Source organism: Homo sapiens, chromosome 2 (genome assembly GCF_000001405.40).
Source record: "Homo sapiens chromosome 2, GRCh38.p14 Primary Assembly".
Lineage (NCBI taxonomy): Eukaryota > Metazoa > Chordata > Mammalia > Primates > Hominidae > Homo > Homo sapiens.
Genome location: NC_000002.12, coordinates 107,233,916 through 107,251,999, shown reverse-complemented (window position 1 = coordinate 107,251,999; position 18,084 = coordinate 107,233,916). Strand labels below are relative to the sequence as shown.

The 18,084-nt window shown below is 38.9% G+C and overlaps 1 annotated feature.

Moving 5' to 3' along the window:
* Positions 15,603-16,247: an enhancer, noted in NCBI's record as "H3K27ac-H3K4me1 hESC enhancer chr2:107852209-107852853 (GRCh37/hg19 assembly coordinates)". NCBI's record gives its function as "activates a minimal SCP1, AML or CMV promoter by ChIP-STARR-seq in primed H9 embryonic stem cells {active_cell/tissue: H9 hESC(primed)}" and the evidence as "EXISTENCE:reporter gene assay evidence [ECO:0000049][PMID:30033119]".

Here is an 18,084-nt window from a genome sequence, read left to right as displayed (position 1 = left end):
AATATGGACAAAAATACACTCTTTGAAAAGCAATTATAGCAAGGTTTCAGATATAAGGTTAATATATAAAAGCAAATTGCTTTATTATATGTCAGCAATGAAAAAGTGGAATTTGAAATTAAGAACGCAATATCATTTACATCAGTACCCTCTCAAAATGAAATACTAACATAGAAATTTAACAGAATGTGTACAACATCTATATGAGAAAACTTTAACAAATTCTGATGAAAGAAATCAAAGAGCTAAGTAAATGGAGAGGTAGTCCATGCTCATGGATAGTAAGACTCAATACTTTCAAGATGTCAGATTTCACAACTAGATCTATAGATTCAGTGCAATTCCAATCAAAATCCCAGCAAGTTATTTTATAACTATTGAAAAAATGACTCTAAAGTTTATGAGGAGAGGCAAAAAACCCAGGATAGTCAACATGATATTGAAGGAAAGAACAAAGTTGAAGGACTGCCACCACCTGACTTTAAGACTTACTATAAAGTTACAGTAATCAGACAGTGTGATATTGGCAAAAGAATAGACACATATATCAATGGAACAGAATAGAGAGCCCATAAATAAACCCACATAAATATAGTCAACTGATCTTTGACAAAGAAGCTAAGACAATACAATTGAGCCAAGATAGTTTTTTCAACAAATGGTGCTGGAACAACTAGATGTTCACATGCAAAAAAAATAAATAAATCCAGACAAAGGTGGTCTTATCATGAAAATTTGCTCAGAATGAATCACAGACCTAAATGTAAAACAAAAAACTATGGAACTCCTGGAAGATAACACAAGGAAAAAATCTAGATGACCCTGGGTATGACAATGATTTCATAGTTACAGTGGAGAAGCACTATCCATGAAAGAAAAATTTGGTAATCTGGACTTCATTAAAATTAAAAACTTCTACTCTGCAAAAGAGAATGTCAAAGGAATAAGAAGACAAGCCACAGACTGAGAGGAAATATTTTCAAAAGACACATCTAATAGAGGATTGCCATCCAGAAAACACACAGAACTCTTAAAACCCAACAACAAGAAAATAAACAACCAAGTTAAAAAGTGGACCAAGGACCTTGCAAACATCTCACTAAAGAAGATATACAGAATGCAAATAAGCATTTTTAAAAGTTCCACATTAGATATTACCAGAGAAATGCAAATTAAGCAACATTGAGATACTACTATACACCTATTAGAATGGCCAAAATATGGAATACTGACAATAGCAAATGCCAGTGAGGATGTGAAGAAATGAGAAACATCATTCAATGATGATAGGAATGCAAAATAATACATCCATGTTGGAAGACAATTTAGCAGTTTCTTACAAAACTAAGCATACTCTTCTAATACGATCCAGTACTTCTTAGTATTGTATTTACCCAAAATAGTTGAAAACTTACGTCTACACAAAAACCTGCACGTGGATATAACTTTATTAATAATTCCCTAAACTTGGAAGCAACCAAGATGTACTTCAGTGAGTGAATGGATAAATAAACAGTGTTACATCCATACAGTGGTATAACATTCAGTGCTAAAAAGAAAGGAGGTATCAAGCCATGAAAACACATAAAGGAACCTTAAATGCATATGTCTAAGTGAACAAAGTCAGTCTGAAAAATCATACATATTGTATGATTACAGCTACATGACATTCTGGAAAAGGCAAAACTATGGAGACAGTAAAAATGTCAGTGGTTGCTAGGAATTGGAGTGGGGGAAGCTGAATGGGCAGAACACAGAGGATTTTTAGGTCAGTGAAACAGTTTACTGTCTGCATACGACGCTGTAATGTTTCATACATGTTGTCATTATACATTTGTCCAAACCCATGGAATGTGCAATACCAATAGTGAACCCTAATGCAAACCATGGTCTTTGGGTGATGATGTATCAATGTAGGTTTATCAGTTTTAACAAATGTGCCACTCTGGTGGTGGATGATGATAATGGTGAAGGTTGTGAATGTGTGAGGGCAGGGGGTACATGGGAAATCTGTGAACCTTCTGCTGTGAACTCCTCTTTAAAAGTTTTTTTAAAAAACAAATAAATACATAAACAAAGGCTTTAAATACAGATAGGAAAAGAGAACGAGAGAAAGAAAGGACTAAGTCATCTGTTTTCACTTTCAATACTAAGTGGGTCTTGACAGGACAAATTTATTTTAACAGATCTTTCAGCTGGTTGTCATTATGCCCTTAGAAATGTGATTTTTCAATTGGAGAAATACCAGTACAATATTATCGCTCTTGAGAACAGCTCCTTTTCTTTATAAGTATTTGTCTAGTGTATTGACAGAAATAATCAAGTGTAAACATTGGGCACATTGTAAAAGAGAGAGACACTAGCAAGATGATAGAAAAGGAGGTCCCTTGGCTGCTATCTTCCCAAACCAACAATTACTTCACATCCACTCATGGACAAAAGTGCCTTTGTAGAAGCCCTGGGATTGAGGTAGGAGTATGTGAAATGCCAGTAGAACCCAAAACCTAGTAGCTTCCTTTTGAGAGGGTAGACCTTTACCCAGGTAGCAGACTCACAGACTGTGATTTGGGCTGCAGACCAAGAAATGGCCCTGTTTCCCCAAGGGTTTGACTACAGCCCCATTTGGCCTTGGTTCTGCTACCAAAACCATCCACCAAGAAGCCCAAAAAGAGTTTCACATATGCTAGTGCCTCCAGAGACAGGCCATTGACCTCCATCCCAGCTGCGAATCCTAAAACAACTCTGTGACTGGCCCTAGCCCCTATTAACTGTATCCCAACATCAGTCCTGCTTGCACAAGCACCCAGAGGGAGACACAGCTGGAGAGTCCCTAAGGCAGGCTTGCCAACCCCAGGTCCACAGCAGATCTTGAAACAGCCTTGAACATAAGCCCCAACCCCTCTCAGCTGAGGTCTGAGAGCAGTCTGGCAACCCAGTGACCTGGAGAGATGCCTGCCTCTATGTGCCCCAGAAGACAGGCCAGCTGACCTACATCCCACAGCAGATCCAGAAAGGACCCCAAATCTTGTCCCCAACCCCTCCTAGCCAGGCTTGAGGGCAGTCCTGCCAGCATCCAGTCTCCAGAACCCAGAGAGAAACATGCTCATCAGGGCCCCAGCAGGCTGACCTGCTGTCTTCAGTTCCACTGTGGACCTTGAAAGGACCTTATAAATCAGCTCCAGGCCCTTTCAGCTGTGGTCTGAAAGCAGACCTGCCCGCTCACCCAGGGATAAGCTGGGAGACATGTCCATCCATTACTCCAGAGTTAGGCTAGAAGTTTTCAATCTCAGCTGTAGAACCTGAAGTAGACTTCATAACTCGGTTCTAGCTCCTGTCGGTGGCTAACTAAACAAATAAGTGCTGATATTTCCTGAGCACATGTGTGTTTTCCAGTTTTCAAGTTTCTATAAAATCAGTACACTCCTATGACGGATGGTAAATGTCAAAACCTTCTGTACAGGTTATGTGTCTATCATCAACTCTGTTGAGAAACAAAAATGTAGTATTTTATTTTTTATTAAACTTGCATTTTCTCTTTTTAAGGTTATTAATACTAAAAGAGTAGATTGTAAAATTTAAAAGCAAACATTAAAATAAATTTAGCTGTAGATCTATCCCTATCCTGAATGATAAAACCTCTGTAGAAAAGTCAGCCTCTTCAGTACACGGAGACAATAGTATACTCAGTCTCAGTCTCAGTCTCCCTCACATATTTTAGAGACCTTGGGAGAAAATTTCCCCGGGTTCTCGTGGACCTTGGCCTGGCATGACTGGTTGGCATGCCACATGGCTTGCACAAGGCAGGGCTGGATACTTTTCTCACCAGCACCCATGACCAGAAAAATAAACCTTCCTTAGCCACTCATGACTCAGTGTTGGTTTTATCAGGGAGTGTTGCATTGTGGCATTGAAAGGGGGATGCTAGTTATTTTGCAACCAGAAAGGACCAGGGAAAGAAAGACGAATCGTCACTGGTCATCTTTCATATATTATCGCACGGCAAGAGTCTTCTGCTTTCTGCATGTGCTTCTCACATACTAGAACACAGGACCACAGCAGAAGCTTGAAGCATGAAGGAAAGGTCTTCAAAGCCTGGTCTGGATTCTTTCAATGCAACCATTAATACTTACATTTGTTTAAAAATGAAAGAATCTGGGAAAAACACAAAAGTAGATGAGAGGTCAGAACAGAACTTGCAAGTTTAGCAGGAGTGCCTTCAGGGCCCAGCATCATTTGCAGCCTGTGGTAGCTGGGCAGCTACATCACTACATCACTTCAGATTTTAAACTCCATGAGCTGGGCTTCTCTCTAACAGGCCACAGGTGCCCTGAACCCACAGACCACTGGGTATGGTCCAGATTCTCCTGCAGCCCACTATGTGCATATAGCCAATGGGTTCAACATCATGCTGTGGTTAAGGTGACATTATATTTTTCTAAGCACTGTGGCTGTCGTACTTAAAAAGACAAACTCTGATGACATGACTAGTGTCATTCTTTGATTATAGAGATGACTATTCATGAGCATGTTTGAGATGCAGCATATAAAATAGGAAAATGAGAGTGACCTTGATGAAGTTAAATATAAAATTTGACCTTCTTAGAAACCCACATACTTTCACATTGTATTTCAGTGTTACATTTCTCATCTGTAGTAGGATTGCCTTTTTCAGAAAACAACAACAACAACAAAAAACATGGAAATAGACTTGCAATGTCAAGACATTTTCTCCTGAACTCCTTCTTTACGCTTTATAACCAGTCTTTAAATCTGCAGCCGCAGGATCCTGTAAGTATGCTGGTGGTGTTTCACAATAGGACCTACTAATTATAGATAGTTTTAGGGTTTTTTCCTCAGGCAGACAATAGTCCCAGCGTGTTACAAAGGTTTTAGACTTTAGCAAGATTTGCAAGAAAGAACAACACTTTTAAGTACCAAGATAAGAATAGAAAGATCTTAACTAGGGAAAGTTTGCATTAACTCAAAATGTGATTTAATTATTCGATTACATTTCAGAGTTAGAATCAGGCTTCCTGAAAGCATTACTTTTTAAAGACATACATATTTTTCTCATTGTCTCAGCTCCAGATTCTAAGTGTGTCTGACAGTGATACACCAAGACATCACAATAAAGGCAACTGCAAAACTGCTTAGGATTGTCATTTAACTCCTAACTCAAAATATTGGGAAGTACAATTGTGGTAGTAATGTGTAGAAACTGTTGGTTATCAGTTTCCTGCCAGCGGGAGTGTTTTAAAAAATACAACCCTTCCCAAAAGCATGCGTACAAAATGGCAGATTACAGAAGAAATGTATAACTGCCATTTAGTTTACCCCATGAAGTAGCTGCCAAACAGGTTGTGACAATCACAAGTTCTTATAAAGAGAGTTAGTATGTAGAAAGAATGAACTCAGGAAAATCCTGAGAAAGGCCTGCAAGTACTGGGTGCTTTGCACATTTGTTTAACTCACTGTGTGGTGAGAAAGGGCCATGCAGTGTGCAAGACAGCATGCACCTTAGTGGAGAGGAGCAAACCCAGCAACACTGTGGTAGGCAGAGTGGAAATGGCCCTGAGGAAGAACAAGGTGTGGGTAAGAGGGAAAAGCCTGCTGAAGGAAGAACACGGGTAGTGGGGATAAAGCATAGAATATTTTAGAAGGACAAAATATTGGGGAAAAGAATGGCAGAAATGACTAAAACAGTGCCCATAATGATTTTAAATTTGAGAAAGGTGATGGAAATGGCCAAAGATGCCAGAAAAAAGGGATAAGATTGAAGTCACAGAGAACTCAACCATCTACCAGAAAATAATGTCCATTAGAGGCCACTAGGCTGGTGCCCTCCTTCCCAGTGACTGTCTTCTTTTTTAAGTCAAGGCTCTGTCCCACTTTAATGGACAGAATTAAAGCTCTGACCTTCTTTACGCTTCCATCAAAGAAAAAAAAATCCTTAAAAACTGTAATCACTAAAAATTCAACTTTCTGTGATCAAAGGAGAAAGAGAATTAGCTCTTACATCAACTATCAAAATGGTATTAAGAGCCGAAAATGACCAAAGAAAAATTATCACAGTTTAGTGTGCCCTGCTACAGAGTTAAGGCTATGCCAGCAACTCATATGACAAATTTTCTTCTTTGATGGTTCAGAGCCTGGCCTAACAAATCTACTCTGGATTGTTCTGTAGCTCCAAGTAAATTACATTTGGTACATGTTTAAATAAACTGTAAACTCATTTCAAAGTTACCGGAATGTAAGAAGGTATAAATTACAGGTTTGGGGGGCTGTAGATTTGTATTATGTGGTGGTGTTTACCATCTCTGTATTTTTTACCTCTTAAAGTTACAGATGCCTTTTTACTTTGAAACAAGCATTTGCGAGTGGCTCAAGGAAGTATAACTCACTTTACTTCATAGAAATATCATGGTTCAAGGCAAGGTGAGCTCTTCCCTATTTCTAATCTCTAGGTTTTTCTTCATTGTTACTTTGCTTTGCAGGAATTTTACAAATCTGAACTACAAAACTAGTTCTATACAAGGTGGGCTAAGACCAATGTCTATTCCTTATTCCAAGAAATAAATAATGCAGAATGTTCACTGTACATAGGATTTATCCAGAGTAGCTGTATTCTTTCTCTAAATTAATTGATCAAACAATCAATCAACATATCACTTTTTTTGCATTTTTGATGAACCTTGGCAATGAGATTACTTTCCAACCATTCACTTTGAATTGTTTTTATTATGATAAAAGTCCATGAATTGTATTTATTATGATAAAAGTCTTATTAAGTAAGAACAATTAAGAAGTCTTCACCTAGAGTAATAAATTTTAGTTTGTCTTAAATCTGACTCATGTGGGGTTTTTTTAATAAAAAATGGCATCTGCTGTTTTGAAAGCTGTTTTTAAAATATCTGCTGCTAACTTTGGTGAGAAAAACCCACATTCTCAGGGCCTATGAAGTTCATCCCACATTCTGCCAGTAAGCAAAGGCCATAGGCTGTGCACATGCTGTGGGGAACAGGGGAAAAACTCATTTCTTTCCAATCTCTAAGGTTTTGATCTCACCCATAAGACTTGGTCTTCTCTAAATATTTTCATTTAAGCAGTTGAAACTCAGAAAATCTGGAAAATATATTAAACATTTCCAACCTTTACATTACCCGCTTATTTCACTCTAATTGTGGTAAATGCAGATTTCATCTAAACATGATTCAACTCATAAAACATTTACAATATTCCTTTGTACTTTCTTTCATGTGATGAGTAGGGTATAATCCTTTGCTTTTGCTTCAAAGATTCCTATATGAAAAGGTTTTTTTTTTTAAGAGTCTTCATTCTCCTCATCATTAATTTCAAATGTTTCAGTATTTTATCCCCCTCCTTCAAATAGCAAAAGAATCCTATATATTTAATATATTAAGATTTGTGGCCAGGCACACTGGCTCACACCTGCAGTCCCAGCACTTTGGGAGGCTAAGGTGGGAGAATCAACTGAGGCCAGGAGTGCAAAACCAGCCTGGCCAGCATGGTAAACCCCGCCTCTACTAAAAATATAAAAATTAGCAGGGCATGGTGGTGGGTGCCGGTAATCCCAGCTACTCAGGAGGCTGAGGCAGGAGAATTGCTTGAACCCAGGATGTGGAGGTTGCAGTGAGTCAAGATCGTGCCATGGCACTCCAGCCTGGGCAACAAGAGTGAAACGCCATCTCAAAAAAGAAAAAAGAAAAAAAATTGTAAGTAATTTTTATTCCAAAGCAGTACTTATTTTTCACAAAATGCTGCTCTGTATCTAGTTATGTCATACAATTCATTTGATACAGTATTTGCCATATGAAACATCATACACTTATGCAAAGACAGGAGGGTAAATGGAGGATGACCCCTCACCTAAGTTGGGAATGGTATTCTCTTCTTATGGATTCCAAAAAGGAAAAATAAAAGCATGGACAGCAGAAATAAAGAACAATAGCAATATGAGAGAGAAAGCATTGGTGGAAGAGATAATTTCAATTTAGGCCTTTAGTGTCTTACAAACAAAAAGATGCATGAACTGCTGCAGAAGACAAATATTACGTTTTCCTGACTCCTGCTTCTACCTGGAACTTCTACAAATCTGGACTCCCAGGGGTAAGTCTCTCTTCTCCCTCATCCAAAGACAGCAGCTGCAACTCTGAGTGGTAAACAAAGGTACTGGCAGAGTTCATAGTCTTGAGGGCAAAGTGAGAATATCAGTTTGGGGGTGGCAAGCTTGTGGCACACCTCACCAAGCGAGATCTTGTACCAGCAAGGTTGCTCGATTGTCCTGAATTTACCCCCACACTATCAGCATTGGCCAGATTATCTCAAACATTTCCTCAAAGGTTCAGAGTCTGTATCGCTCACTGATGGACAAACGACTCCTGGCTAAGAAGGCACTAACTTTATGTTCCCCTTCATTAAAATGATGATGATTGTGACCAGATTTTTCTGAGCTGATTTTGTTTTACACTGATTGATCAAAACTCTTTCCTCCCTTTAATATCAGGTCTTGGAGTAGCTGCAGAAAGAAAAGACTGGCTTAAAGAAAAGGACTGCCTGGACTGGTAAACGATAGGGTGACTGTCAATGTTGTGGGGGAAAAAGGAAACAGTCAGGTCAGTTTGTGCAGAGATTGGCTAGAAAGTTGTGTGTTTAAGTCAAAACAAGGACGTAGACCCCAGGAGATGAGCACGGTAAACAGTTTCCTGACCAAGAATCGTGTGCAGGCCCAGGAAATGGAGAATCCTGGCTCTCCACTGGGGAACTCAGGGACAATGGTGCTAGCACAGTGGGTTGGGTAAGCAGAGTTAGTAGCTCTGGAACACAGGCCCAGAAACAAACTAACAGGAATGAAGGTCAACCTGTTCCAATTTTCTATTGTGATGTATAAGTAACCACAACCACAGAGGCTTAAAATAACACCCTTTATTTATTATCTCACAGTTTCTGTAGGGCAAAAGTACAGATGCAGTTTCAGGGTCTCAGAAGACTGAATCAGAGATGTTGGCCAAGCTGTGTTCCTTTCTGGGACTCTGGGTTTTCTTTCTAGATCGTGTGGTTGTTGGCAAAATTCAGTTCCTTATAGCTGCAGGTCCCTACTTTCTTTTGAGCCACCAGCCAGGATTAGGCTCAGGTCCTAGAGGCCTCCTGCCATTTCTTGATCTGTGGCCATCTCTGTAACAGGGAAGTTTGTTCCTTCAAGGCCAATAGGACAACATCTGTTGCAGCTTTGACTCTCTCTAGCATCTTCTATCTCTGACATGGGGTGGGATTCAGAGGAACATCCTAGAATTCTGCCTACCACATGGGCTTAATAAATGAATGTGTGAATAATGACCAAATGAACGTGTGAATGAACAAACTAGCAAGGTTGGAGGATGAAGATGGAGAAACAGGCAAACAAACACACAGATGGGGAAAAAAAAAGAAAGAAAAAAAAATCCAATAAACTAAAAAGGGTGAAGAATGTTAACTGAGAGAGTTAGTGGATAGAGAAGGAAATCTCTACAGAGGACACACAGAGCCACACAGACTTCTAGAAACAAAAGTTGTAACTGCTGACCAGGCCCAGAGAGCCTGCCCTGTGCAGGGTAGGATATTTTTTGTAAATGGTTGTCTAAGATCCCCCAATTTTTAGCAAGCATGAACAAAAGGAACAAAAGATGGCTGTTATCATGTACAAAGCACTGTTCCCACAGTGCTTTGGAGATATCTAGAAACCTCCATTAATATTTAATATCCTGAAATCTACACACTTCATTACAAAGAGTTTCCATTAGATTTTGTTGCTGTTGTTATTTTGTAATATTTTCAGATCTTAAATGAACATACACATCTAAATAACCACACCTTATCCTCCTGACCTCCCTCTTCCTGTTAATATTACTTCATTCTCCATGACTCCCTGACATGGACTTTCCAAGGTGACTTATTCATCCCTCTCTCTAAAAACAATGTATCTGGATTTGGGTTCCATTTCACAATGCCTCACCAGTACCAAGGCCACTTCCATCTCATAATATAATGTTGTACAAATGAGGAAAAGGCATCTCTTCCCTCAGGAGCACAGTTTGGGGTGCAGAGAACTGGCTGGTTTTCAGCAACCATCCCCGCTCAGTGGAGCCATACCTTTCCTGATGAAGGCGTAACGGAGTATATCATTGCTTTTCAGTTGGCAGGCTGTATTCGTCTCTTAACCACTCTCTGCTTCTTTCTCATAGCACAGCCATTCATCCTGTCTGCTGCTGCTGCTGCTCATCATCCTAAAGTGCATCTCTGTTCAAGTGAACTCATCCCCGAAACCTCTGCTAGCTCCTCTTGGCTACTACACAAACCAAATGTTGCTTATTAATCTTGCACTCAAGGCTTCCACTCCAGCTGACAAATCCAGGTTCAATTTCACTATACCTCTACAAATACAATGCTCTGAAAAACTTCCCTGGACATGAATTGGTTTTTCACTCAGCAGCTTCACTGGTCAAAATCTTAGGAATGCTTCAAGGCCCTTCTGAAAAGCCACCTAGTCCTTTGTGTTTTACTCTCCTCTGGCTTTTTTCATCTTCTATCATGGCATCAAGGTTATACTTCTGATACTTACTTCATAATAACTTTATTATAGACATCATTTCCTCTTCTTCTGAGAGATTAATCAACCCAATGCCAGCACCACTATAATTATACTGTGAGCGCAGGGGCTGCCACGATCATCGCTTTCTTTTTTTTATTATTTAATCATTACACATTTATTTTTTAACGGTGGTAAAAAACATGCAATGTAAAATTTAGCATCTTAACCATGTTTCAGTGTACAGAATAGTGGCATTAAGTATATTCACATTGTTGTGTAACAGATCCCTAAAATTTTTGCAACTTGCGAAACCAAAATATTGTACCTATTAAACAACAACTCATTTCCTTCTCCCCCCAAACTGTGATAAGCCCCATTCCATTGTTTCCATGAATCTGAATGCTTTACATAACTTATGTAAGTAAAATTATACATTATTTGTCATTTTCTAACTGGCCCATTTCACTTGGTATAATATCTCCAAGGCTCAGCTATGTTGTAGCATGCAAGACAGTGACCTTACTTTTTAAGACTGGATGATATTCCACTGTATGTATATACCTCATTTTGCTTATCCATTCATCCATTGATGGACTTTGAGTTGCTTCCACATTTTAGCTTTTGTGAATAATGCTACTAGGAACATGGATGCACAAATATCTCTTTGAGACCTTGCTTTCAACTTTTCTTAGTATATACCTAGAAGAGGGATTGCTGAATCATATGATAGTTCCATTTTTAAGTTTTTAAGGAACTGCCATACTGTTTGTCATAGTGGTTGTATGATGTTACATTCCTGCCAATAGCACACAGGGTTCCACTTTATCAAATTCTCCGCATCTTTGTCAACACTTGATTTTTATTTATTATTAGATAACCTAAGTATCCATCCTAATGGGTGTTAGATGATATCTCATTGTGGTTTGGATTGCATTTCTCTAATGGCTGGTGATGTTGAACATCTTTTCCCATGCTTGTTTATCATTTCCATGTCACTGGAGAAATATATATCTATTTAAGTCATTTGCCCATTTTTAAATTGGGTTGGTTTTTGTTGTCAACAGTCGAGTTGTAGAAATTCTTCACATGTCCTGGATATTACTCTAACCCTTTATCAGATATATAGTTTGCAAATGTTTTTCCCATTATGTAAGTTATCTTTTCACTCTATTGACTGTGCCTTTTGATGCACAGAAATTTAAACATTTAATGTAGTCTCATTTGTTTATTTTTGCTTTTATTGCCTATGCTTTGAGTGTCATCTTCAAGAATTGATTGCCATGTCCAATGTTATGACGCTTTTCCCTTACGTTTGCTTCTAGGAATTTTATTGTTTTGGTTCTTATGTTTATGTGTTTAATTCATTTTGAGTTAATCTTTTTGTAAGGAGAAATATATAGGCCCAACTTCATTCTTTGCATGTCGATATCCAGTTTTCCCACCCCCAATTTGTTATAGAGACTATCATTCCCCATTAGGTGCTTTTGATACCCTTATCTAAGATTACTTAATCAGACACATAAGGGATTATTTTGGGCAGTCTATTCTATTCCATTGGTCTACTGTCTGTCTTTATGCCAGTAGCACACTGTTTTGACTACTGTAGCTTTGCAATATATATTGAAATCACTAAGTATAAGAACTTAGTTTTTTTTTTTCCCAAAATTGTTTTGGCTATTTAGAATCCCTTAAGTCTCCATATGAATTTTGTTCTTTCTTTTTATTTCTGCAAAAAAAAAGTCATTTTTTTCCTAGGGATTACACAGCATCTGTACATCACTGTGGGTAGTGTTGGCATATTAACAATATTTTTTTCTTTTTTTATTATTTTATTTATTTATTTTTATTTTTACTTTACATTCCAGGATACATGTGCAGAATGTGCAGATTTGTTACATAGGTATACATGTGCCATGGTGGTTTGCTGCACCTGTCAACCCATCACCTAGGGTTTAAGCCCCAAATGCATTAGGTATTTGTCCTAATGCTCTCCCGCTCCTTGTCCCCCACCCACTGACAGGCCCTGGTGTGTGTTGTTCCCCTCCCTGTGTCCATGTGTTCTCATTGTTCAACTCCCACTTATGAGTGAGAACATGCAGTCTTTGGTTTTCTGTTCCTGTGCTAGTTTGCTGAGGACGATGGCTTCCAGCTTCATCCATGTCCCTGCAAAGGACATGATCTCATTCTTTATTATGGCTGCATGCAGTATTCCATGGTATGTATGTACTACATTTTCTTTATCCAGTATATAATTGATGGACATTTGGGTTGGTTCCATGTCTTTGCTATTGTAAATAGTGCTGCAAAAGACATACATGTGCAAGTGTCTTTATAGTAGAATGATTTGTATTCCTTTGGGTATATACCCAGTAACAGGATTACTGGGGCAAATGGCATTTCTGGTCCCAGATCCTTGAGGAATTGCCATACTATCTTCCACAGTGGTTGAACTAATTTACATTCTCACCAACTGTGTAAAAGTGTTCCTATTTCTCCACAGCCTTGATAGCATCTATTGTTTACTGACTTTTTAATAATTGCCATGCTGACTGGCTTGAGAGGGTATCTCATTGTGGTTTTGATTTGCATTTTTCTAAAGATCAGTGATGATGAGTTTTATTTCATATATTTTTTGGCCACATAAATGTCTTCTTTTGAGAAGTGTTTGTTCATAACCTTTGCCTACTTTTTGATGGGGTTTTTTTTTCTTGTAAATTTGTTTAAGTTTCTTATAGATTCTGGATATTAGACCTTTGTCAGATGGGTAGACTGCAGAAATTTTCTCCCATTCTGTAGGTTGCCTGTTCACTCTGATGATAGTTTCTTTTGCTGTGAAGAAGTTCTTTAGTTTAATTAGATCTCATTTGTCAATTTTGGCTTTTGCTGCAATTGTTTTTGGTGTTTTTGTAATGAAGTCTTTGCCCGTACCTATGTTCCTATTGCCTAAGTTTTCTTTGAGGGTTTTTATGGTTTTGGGTTTTACATGTAAGTCTTTAATCCATCTTGAGTTAATTTTTGTATAAGTTGTAAGGAAGGGGTACAGTTTCAGTTTTGTGCATATGGCTAGCCAGTTTCCCCAGCACCATTTATTAAATAGGGAATCCTCTCCTCATTGCTTGTATTTTTCAGGTTGGTCAAAGATCAGATGGTTGTAGACGTGTGGTCTTATTTCTAGGTCTCTGTTCTGTTCCATTGGTCTATACATCTGTTTTGGTACCAGTACTATGCTGTTTTGGCTACTGTAGCCTTGTAGTATAGTTTGAATTTAGGTAGTGTGATGCCTCCAGTTTTGCTCTTTTTGCTTAGGTTTGTCTTGGCTATATGAGATCTTTTTTGGTTCCATATGAAATTTAAAGTAGTGTTTTCTAATTCTGTGAAGAAAGTCAATGGTAGTTTGATGGGAATAGCATTGAATCTATAAGCTACTTTGGGTTGTATGGCCATTTTCACAATATTGATTCTTCCTATCCATAAGCATGGAATGTTTTTTCATTTGTTTGTGTCCTCTCTTATTTCTTTGAGCAGTGGTTTGTAGTTCTTGAAGAGGTCTTTCACGTATCTCATTAGCTGTATTCCTAGGTATTTTATTATCTTTGTAGCAATTGTGAATGGGAGTTCATTCATGATTTGGCTCTCTGCTTGTCTATTGTTGGTACATAGGAATGCTAGTGATTTTTGCACATTGATTTTGTATCCTGAGACTTTGCTGAAGTTACATATCAACTTAAGGAGTTTTGGAGCTGAGATGATGGGGTTTTCTAAGTATAGAATCATGTCATCTGCAAACAGAGACAATTTGACTTCCTCTCTTCCTATTTGAATACCTTTTATTTATTTCCCTTGCCTAACTGCCCTGGCCAGAAATTCCAATACTATGTTGAATAGGAATGGTGAGAGAGGACATCCTTATCTTGTGCTGGTTTTCAAAGTGAATGCTTCCAGCTTTTGCCCATTCAGTATAATATTGGCTATGGGTTTGTCATAAATAGCTCTTATTATTTTGAGATATGTTCCATCAATACCTAGTTTATTGAGAGTTTTTAACATGAAGGGATGTTGAATTTTATCAAAGGCCTTTTCTGCATCCATTGAGATATCATGTGTTTTTTTCCATTGGTTCTGTTTATGTGATGAATTATGTTTATTGATTTTATATGTTGAACCAGCCTTGCATGGTTCAAGGATGAAGCTGACTTGATCGTGGCAGATAAGCTTTTTGATGTGCTGCTGGATTTGGTTTGCCAGTATTTTACTGAGGATGTTCTCATCAATGTTCATCAGGGATATTGGTCTGAAGATATCTTTTTTTGATGTGCCTCTGCCAGGTTTTGGTATCAGGATGATACTGACCTCATAAAATGAGTTAGGGAGGAGTCCCTCCTTTTCAATTGTTTGGAATAGTTTCAGAAGGAATGGTACCAGCTCCTCTATGTACCTCTGGTAGAATGTGGCTGTGAATCTGTCTGGTCCCGGGCTTTTCTTTGGTTGGTAGGCTATTAATTACTGCCTCATTTTCAGAACTTGTTATTGGTCTATTCAGTGATTTGACTTCTTCTTGGTTTAGTCTTGGGAGGGTGTATGTGACCAGGAATTTATCCATTTCTTCTATATTTTCCAATTTATTTCCATGGATGTGTTTATAGTATTGTCTGATGGTAGTTTGTATTTCTGTGGGATCAGTAGTTATATCCCCTTTATCATTTTTTATTGTGTTTATTTGATTCTTCTCTCTTTTCTTCTTTATTAGTCTAGCTAGTGACCTATTTTATTAAGTTTTTTCAAAAAAAAATTTATGTTTTTTTCAAAAGGCCATTTATGTTCCTCTCTAAACTGGTTATTCTAGTTAGCAGTTCCTGTAACCTTTTATCAAGGTTCTTAGCTTCCTTGCACTGGGTTAGAACATGCTCTTTTAGCTCAGAGGAATTTGTTATTACCCAATTTCTGAAGCCTACTTCTGTCAGTTCGTCAGTCTCATTCTCCATCCAGTTTTGTGCTCTTGCTGCAGAGGTGTTGCAATCATTTGGAGGAGGAGACGGATTCTGGCTTTTGGAATTTTCCTCATGTTCCGTGGATTTATCTACCTTTGATCTTTGAGGCTGATGATCTTTGGATGGGGTTTTTGTTGGGGGGTCTTTTTTATTGATGTTTTTGTTGTTGTTGCTTTCTGTTTGTTAGTTTTTCTTCTAGCAGTTAGGCCCCTCATCTATAGGTCTGCTGCAGTTTGCTGGAGGTCCACTCCAGACCCTGTTCACCTGGGTATCACCAGTGGAGGCTGCAAAACAGCAAAGATTGTTGTCTGCTCCTTCCTCCAGAAGCTTCATCCCAGAGGGGCGCTGGCCTGATGCCAGCTGGAGCTCTTCCATATGAGGTGTCTGTCAACCCATTGGGAAGTCTCTCCCAGTCAGGAGACATGGAGGTCAGGGATCCACGTGAGGTGGCAGGCTGTCCCTTAGCAGAGCTTGTGTGTTGTGCTGGAAGGATCAGCCACTCTTTTCAGAGTCAGCAGGCAGGAAAGATTAAGTCCACTGAAGCTGCCACCTTAGCCACCCCTCCCCACAGGTGCTCTGTCCCAGGGAGATGAGAGTTTTACCTGTAAGCCCGTGACTGGGGCTGCTGCATTTCCTGCAGAGATGCCCTGCCCAGTGAGGAGGAATCTAGAGAAGCAGTCTGGCCACAGCTGCTTTGCAGTGCTGTGGTGAATTCCGCCCAGTCCAAACATCCCAGTCTCCTAGCATTGTCAGGGGAAAACCACCTACTAAAGCCTCATGAAAAGCCATTGCCCCTCCCCCCACCAAGCTCTGTCATCCCAGGTTGACTCCTGACTGCTGTGCTGGCAGTGAGAATTTCAAGCCAGTAGTTCTTAGCTTGCTGGGCTCCATGGGAGCGGGACCTGCTGAGCAAGACCACTTGGCTCCCTGGCTTCAGCCCCCTTTCCAGGGGAGTGGACGGTTCTCCTGTCTCACTGGCGTTCCAGGCGCCGCAGGAGCACAAAAAAACTTCTGCAGCTCGATTCCTGCTCAAAGAGCTGTCCAGTTTTATGCTTGAAACCCGGGGACCTGGTGGTATAGGCTCATAAGGGAATCTCCTGTTCTGTGGATTGCAAAAATCCATGGGAAAAGCCTAATACCCAGGGCAGGTAGCACAGTCCTTCACTGCTTCCCTTGGCTGGGGGAGGGAGGTCCCCTGGTTCCATGCACTTGCTGGATGAAGCAACGCCGCACCCTGCTTCTACTCACTCTCCATGGGTTGCACCCACTGCCTAACCAGTCCCAATGAGATGAACTGGGTACCTCACTTGGAATTGCAAAAATCACCCACCTTCTGCGTTGGTCTCACTGTGAGTTGCAGACCACAGCTGTTTCTATTCTGCCATCTTGGCCCCTCACTCAGCATATTAACATCATTAAGTTTTGCAATCCAGATACATAAGATGTCTTTTGGTTTGTCTTTAATTTCTTTCAATAATGTTTTATAGTTATCAGCATACAAGTCTTTTACTTCCTTGGCTAGGTTTATGTCTAACTATTTTATTCTCTTTGTCATTATTGTAAATGAAATTGTTTTCTTAATTTCCTTTTCAAGTTGTTCATTGTTAGTGAATAGAAATGCAACTGACTTTTGCATGTTGATTTTGTATCCTAATATTTTGCTGAATGTATTAGTTTTAAAAGGCTTATGGTGGAATTTTAGGTGTTCTATATGTGAGATCATGTCCTCTATGAATAAGGATAATTTTCCTTCTTTGGAAATTTGGAGGACTTTTATTTATTTTTCTTGCTTAATTGCTCTGGCTAGGGCTTCCAGTACTATATCAAACAGAAGCGGCAGAGTGGCATCCTTCTTTTATTCTTCATCTTAGAGAAATGGCTTTTAATCTTTCACCATTGAATATGATGTTAATAGTGGACTTTTCATATATGACCTTTATAATGTTGAGTTAGTTTTCTTTAGTTTCTAGTTTTTTGAGATTTTTTTTTATCATGATCATGTGGTTTTGTCCTTCATTCTGTTAATGTAGTGTGTTACATTGATTGATTTTGATATGCTGAATCATTCTCGCATTGCAGCAATAAATTCCACTTGGTCATGCTATATAATTCTTTTAATGATTTGTTGAATGTGGTTTGCTGATATTTTGCGGAGGATTTTTCCATCAATATTCATCAGGGTTATTGATTTGCCTTTTTTTTCTTATAATTTCTTGGTCTGCCTTTAGCATTAAGGCTTTACCGAATGAGTTTGGGAGTGTTTCTTTCTCTTCAATTTTTTGAAACAATTTCAATAGGATTGACATTTTTTGTTACAGAGACACTTTAAATGTTATGTTTGGTAGAATTGTCCAGTAAAGCCACCTGGACTTTGGCTTTTCTTTGTTGGGATGCTTTTGAGTCAATCTCCTCACTCATTATTGGGCTGTTTAGATTTTCCATTTCTTCATGATCCAGTCTTAGTAGGTCGCATGCTTCTAGGAATTTATTCATTTTTCGGTTACACAATTT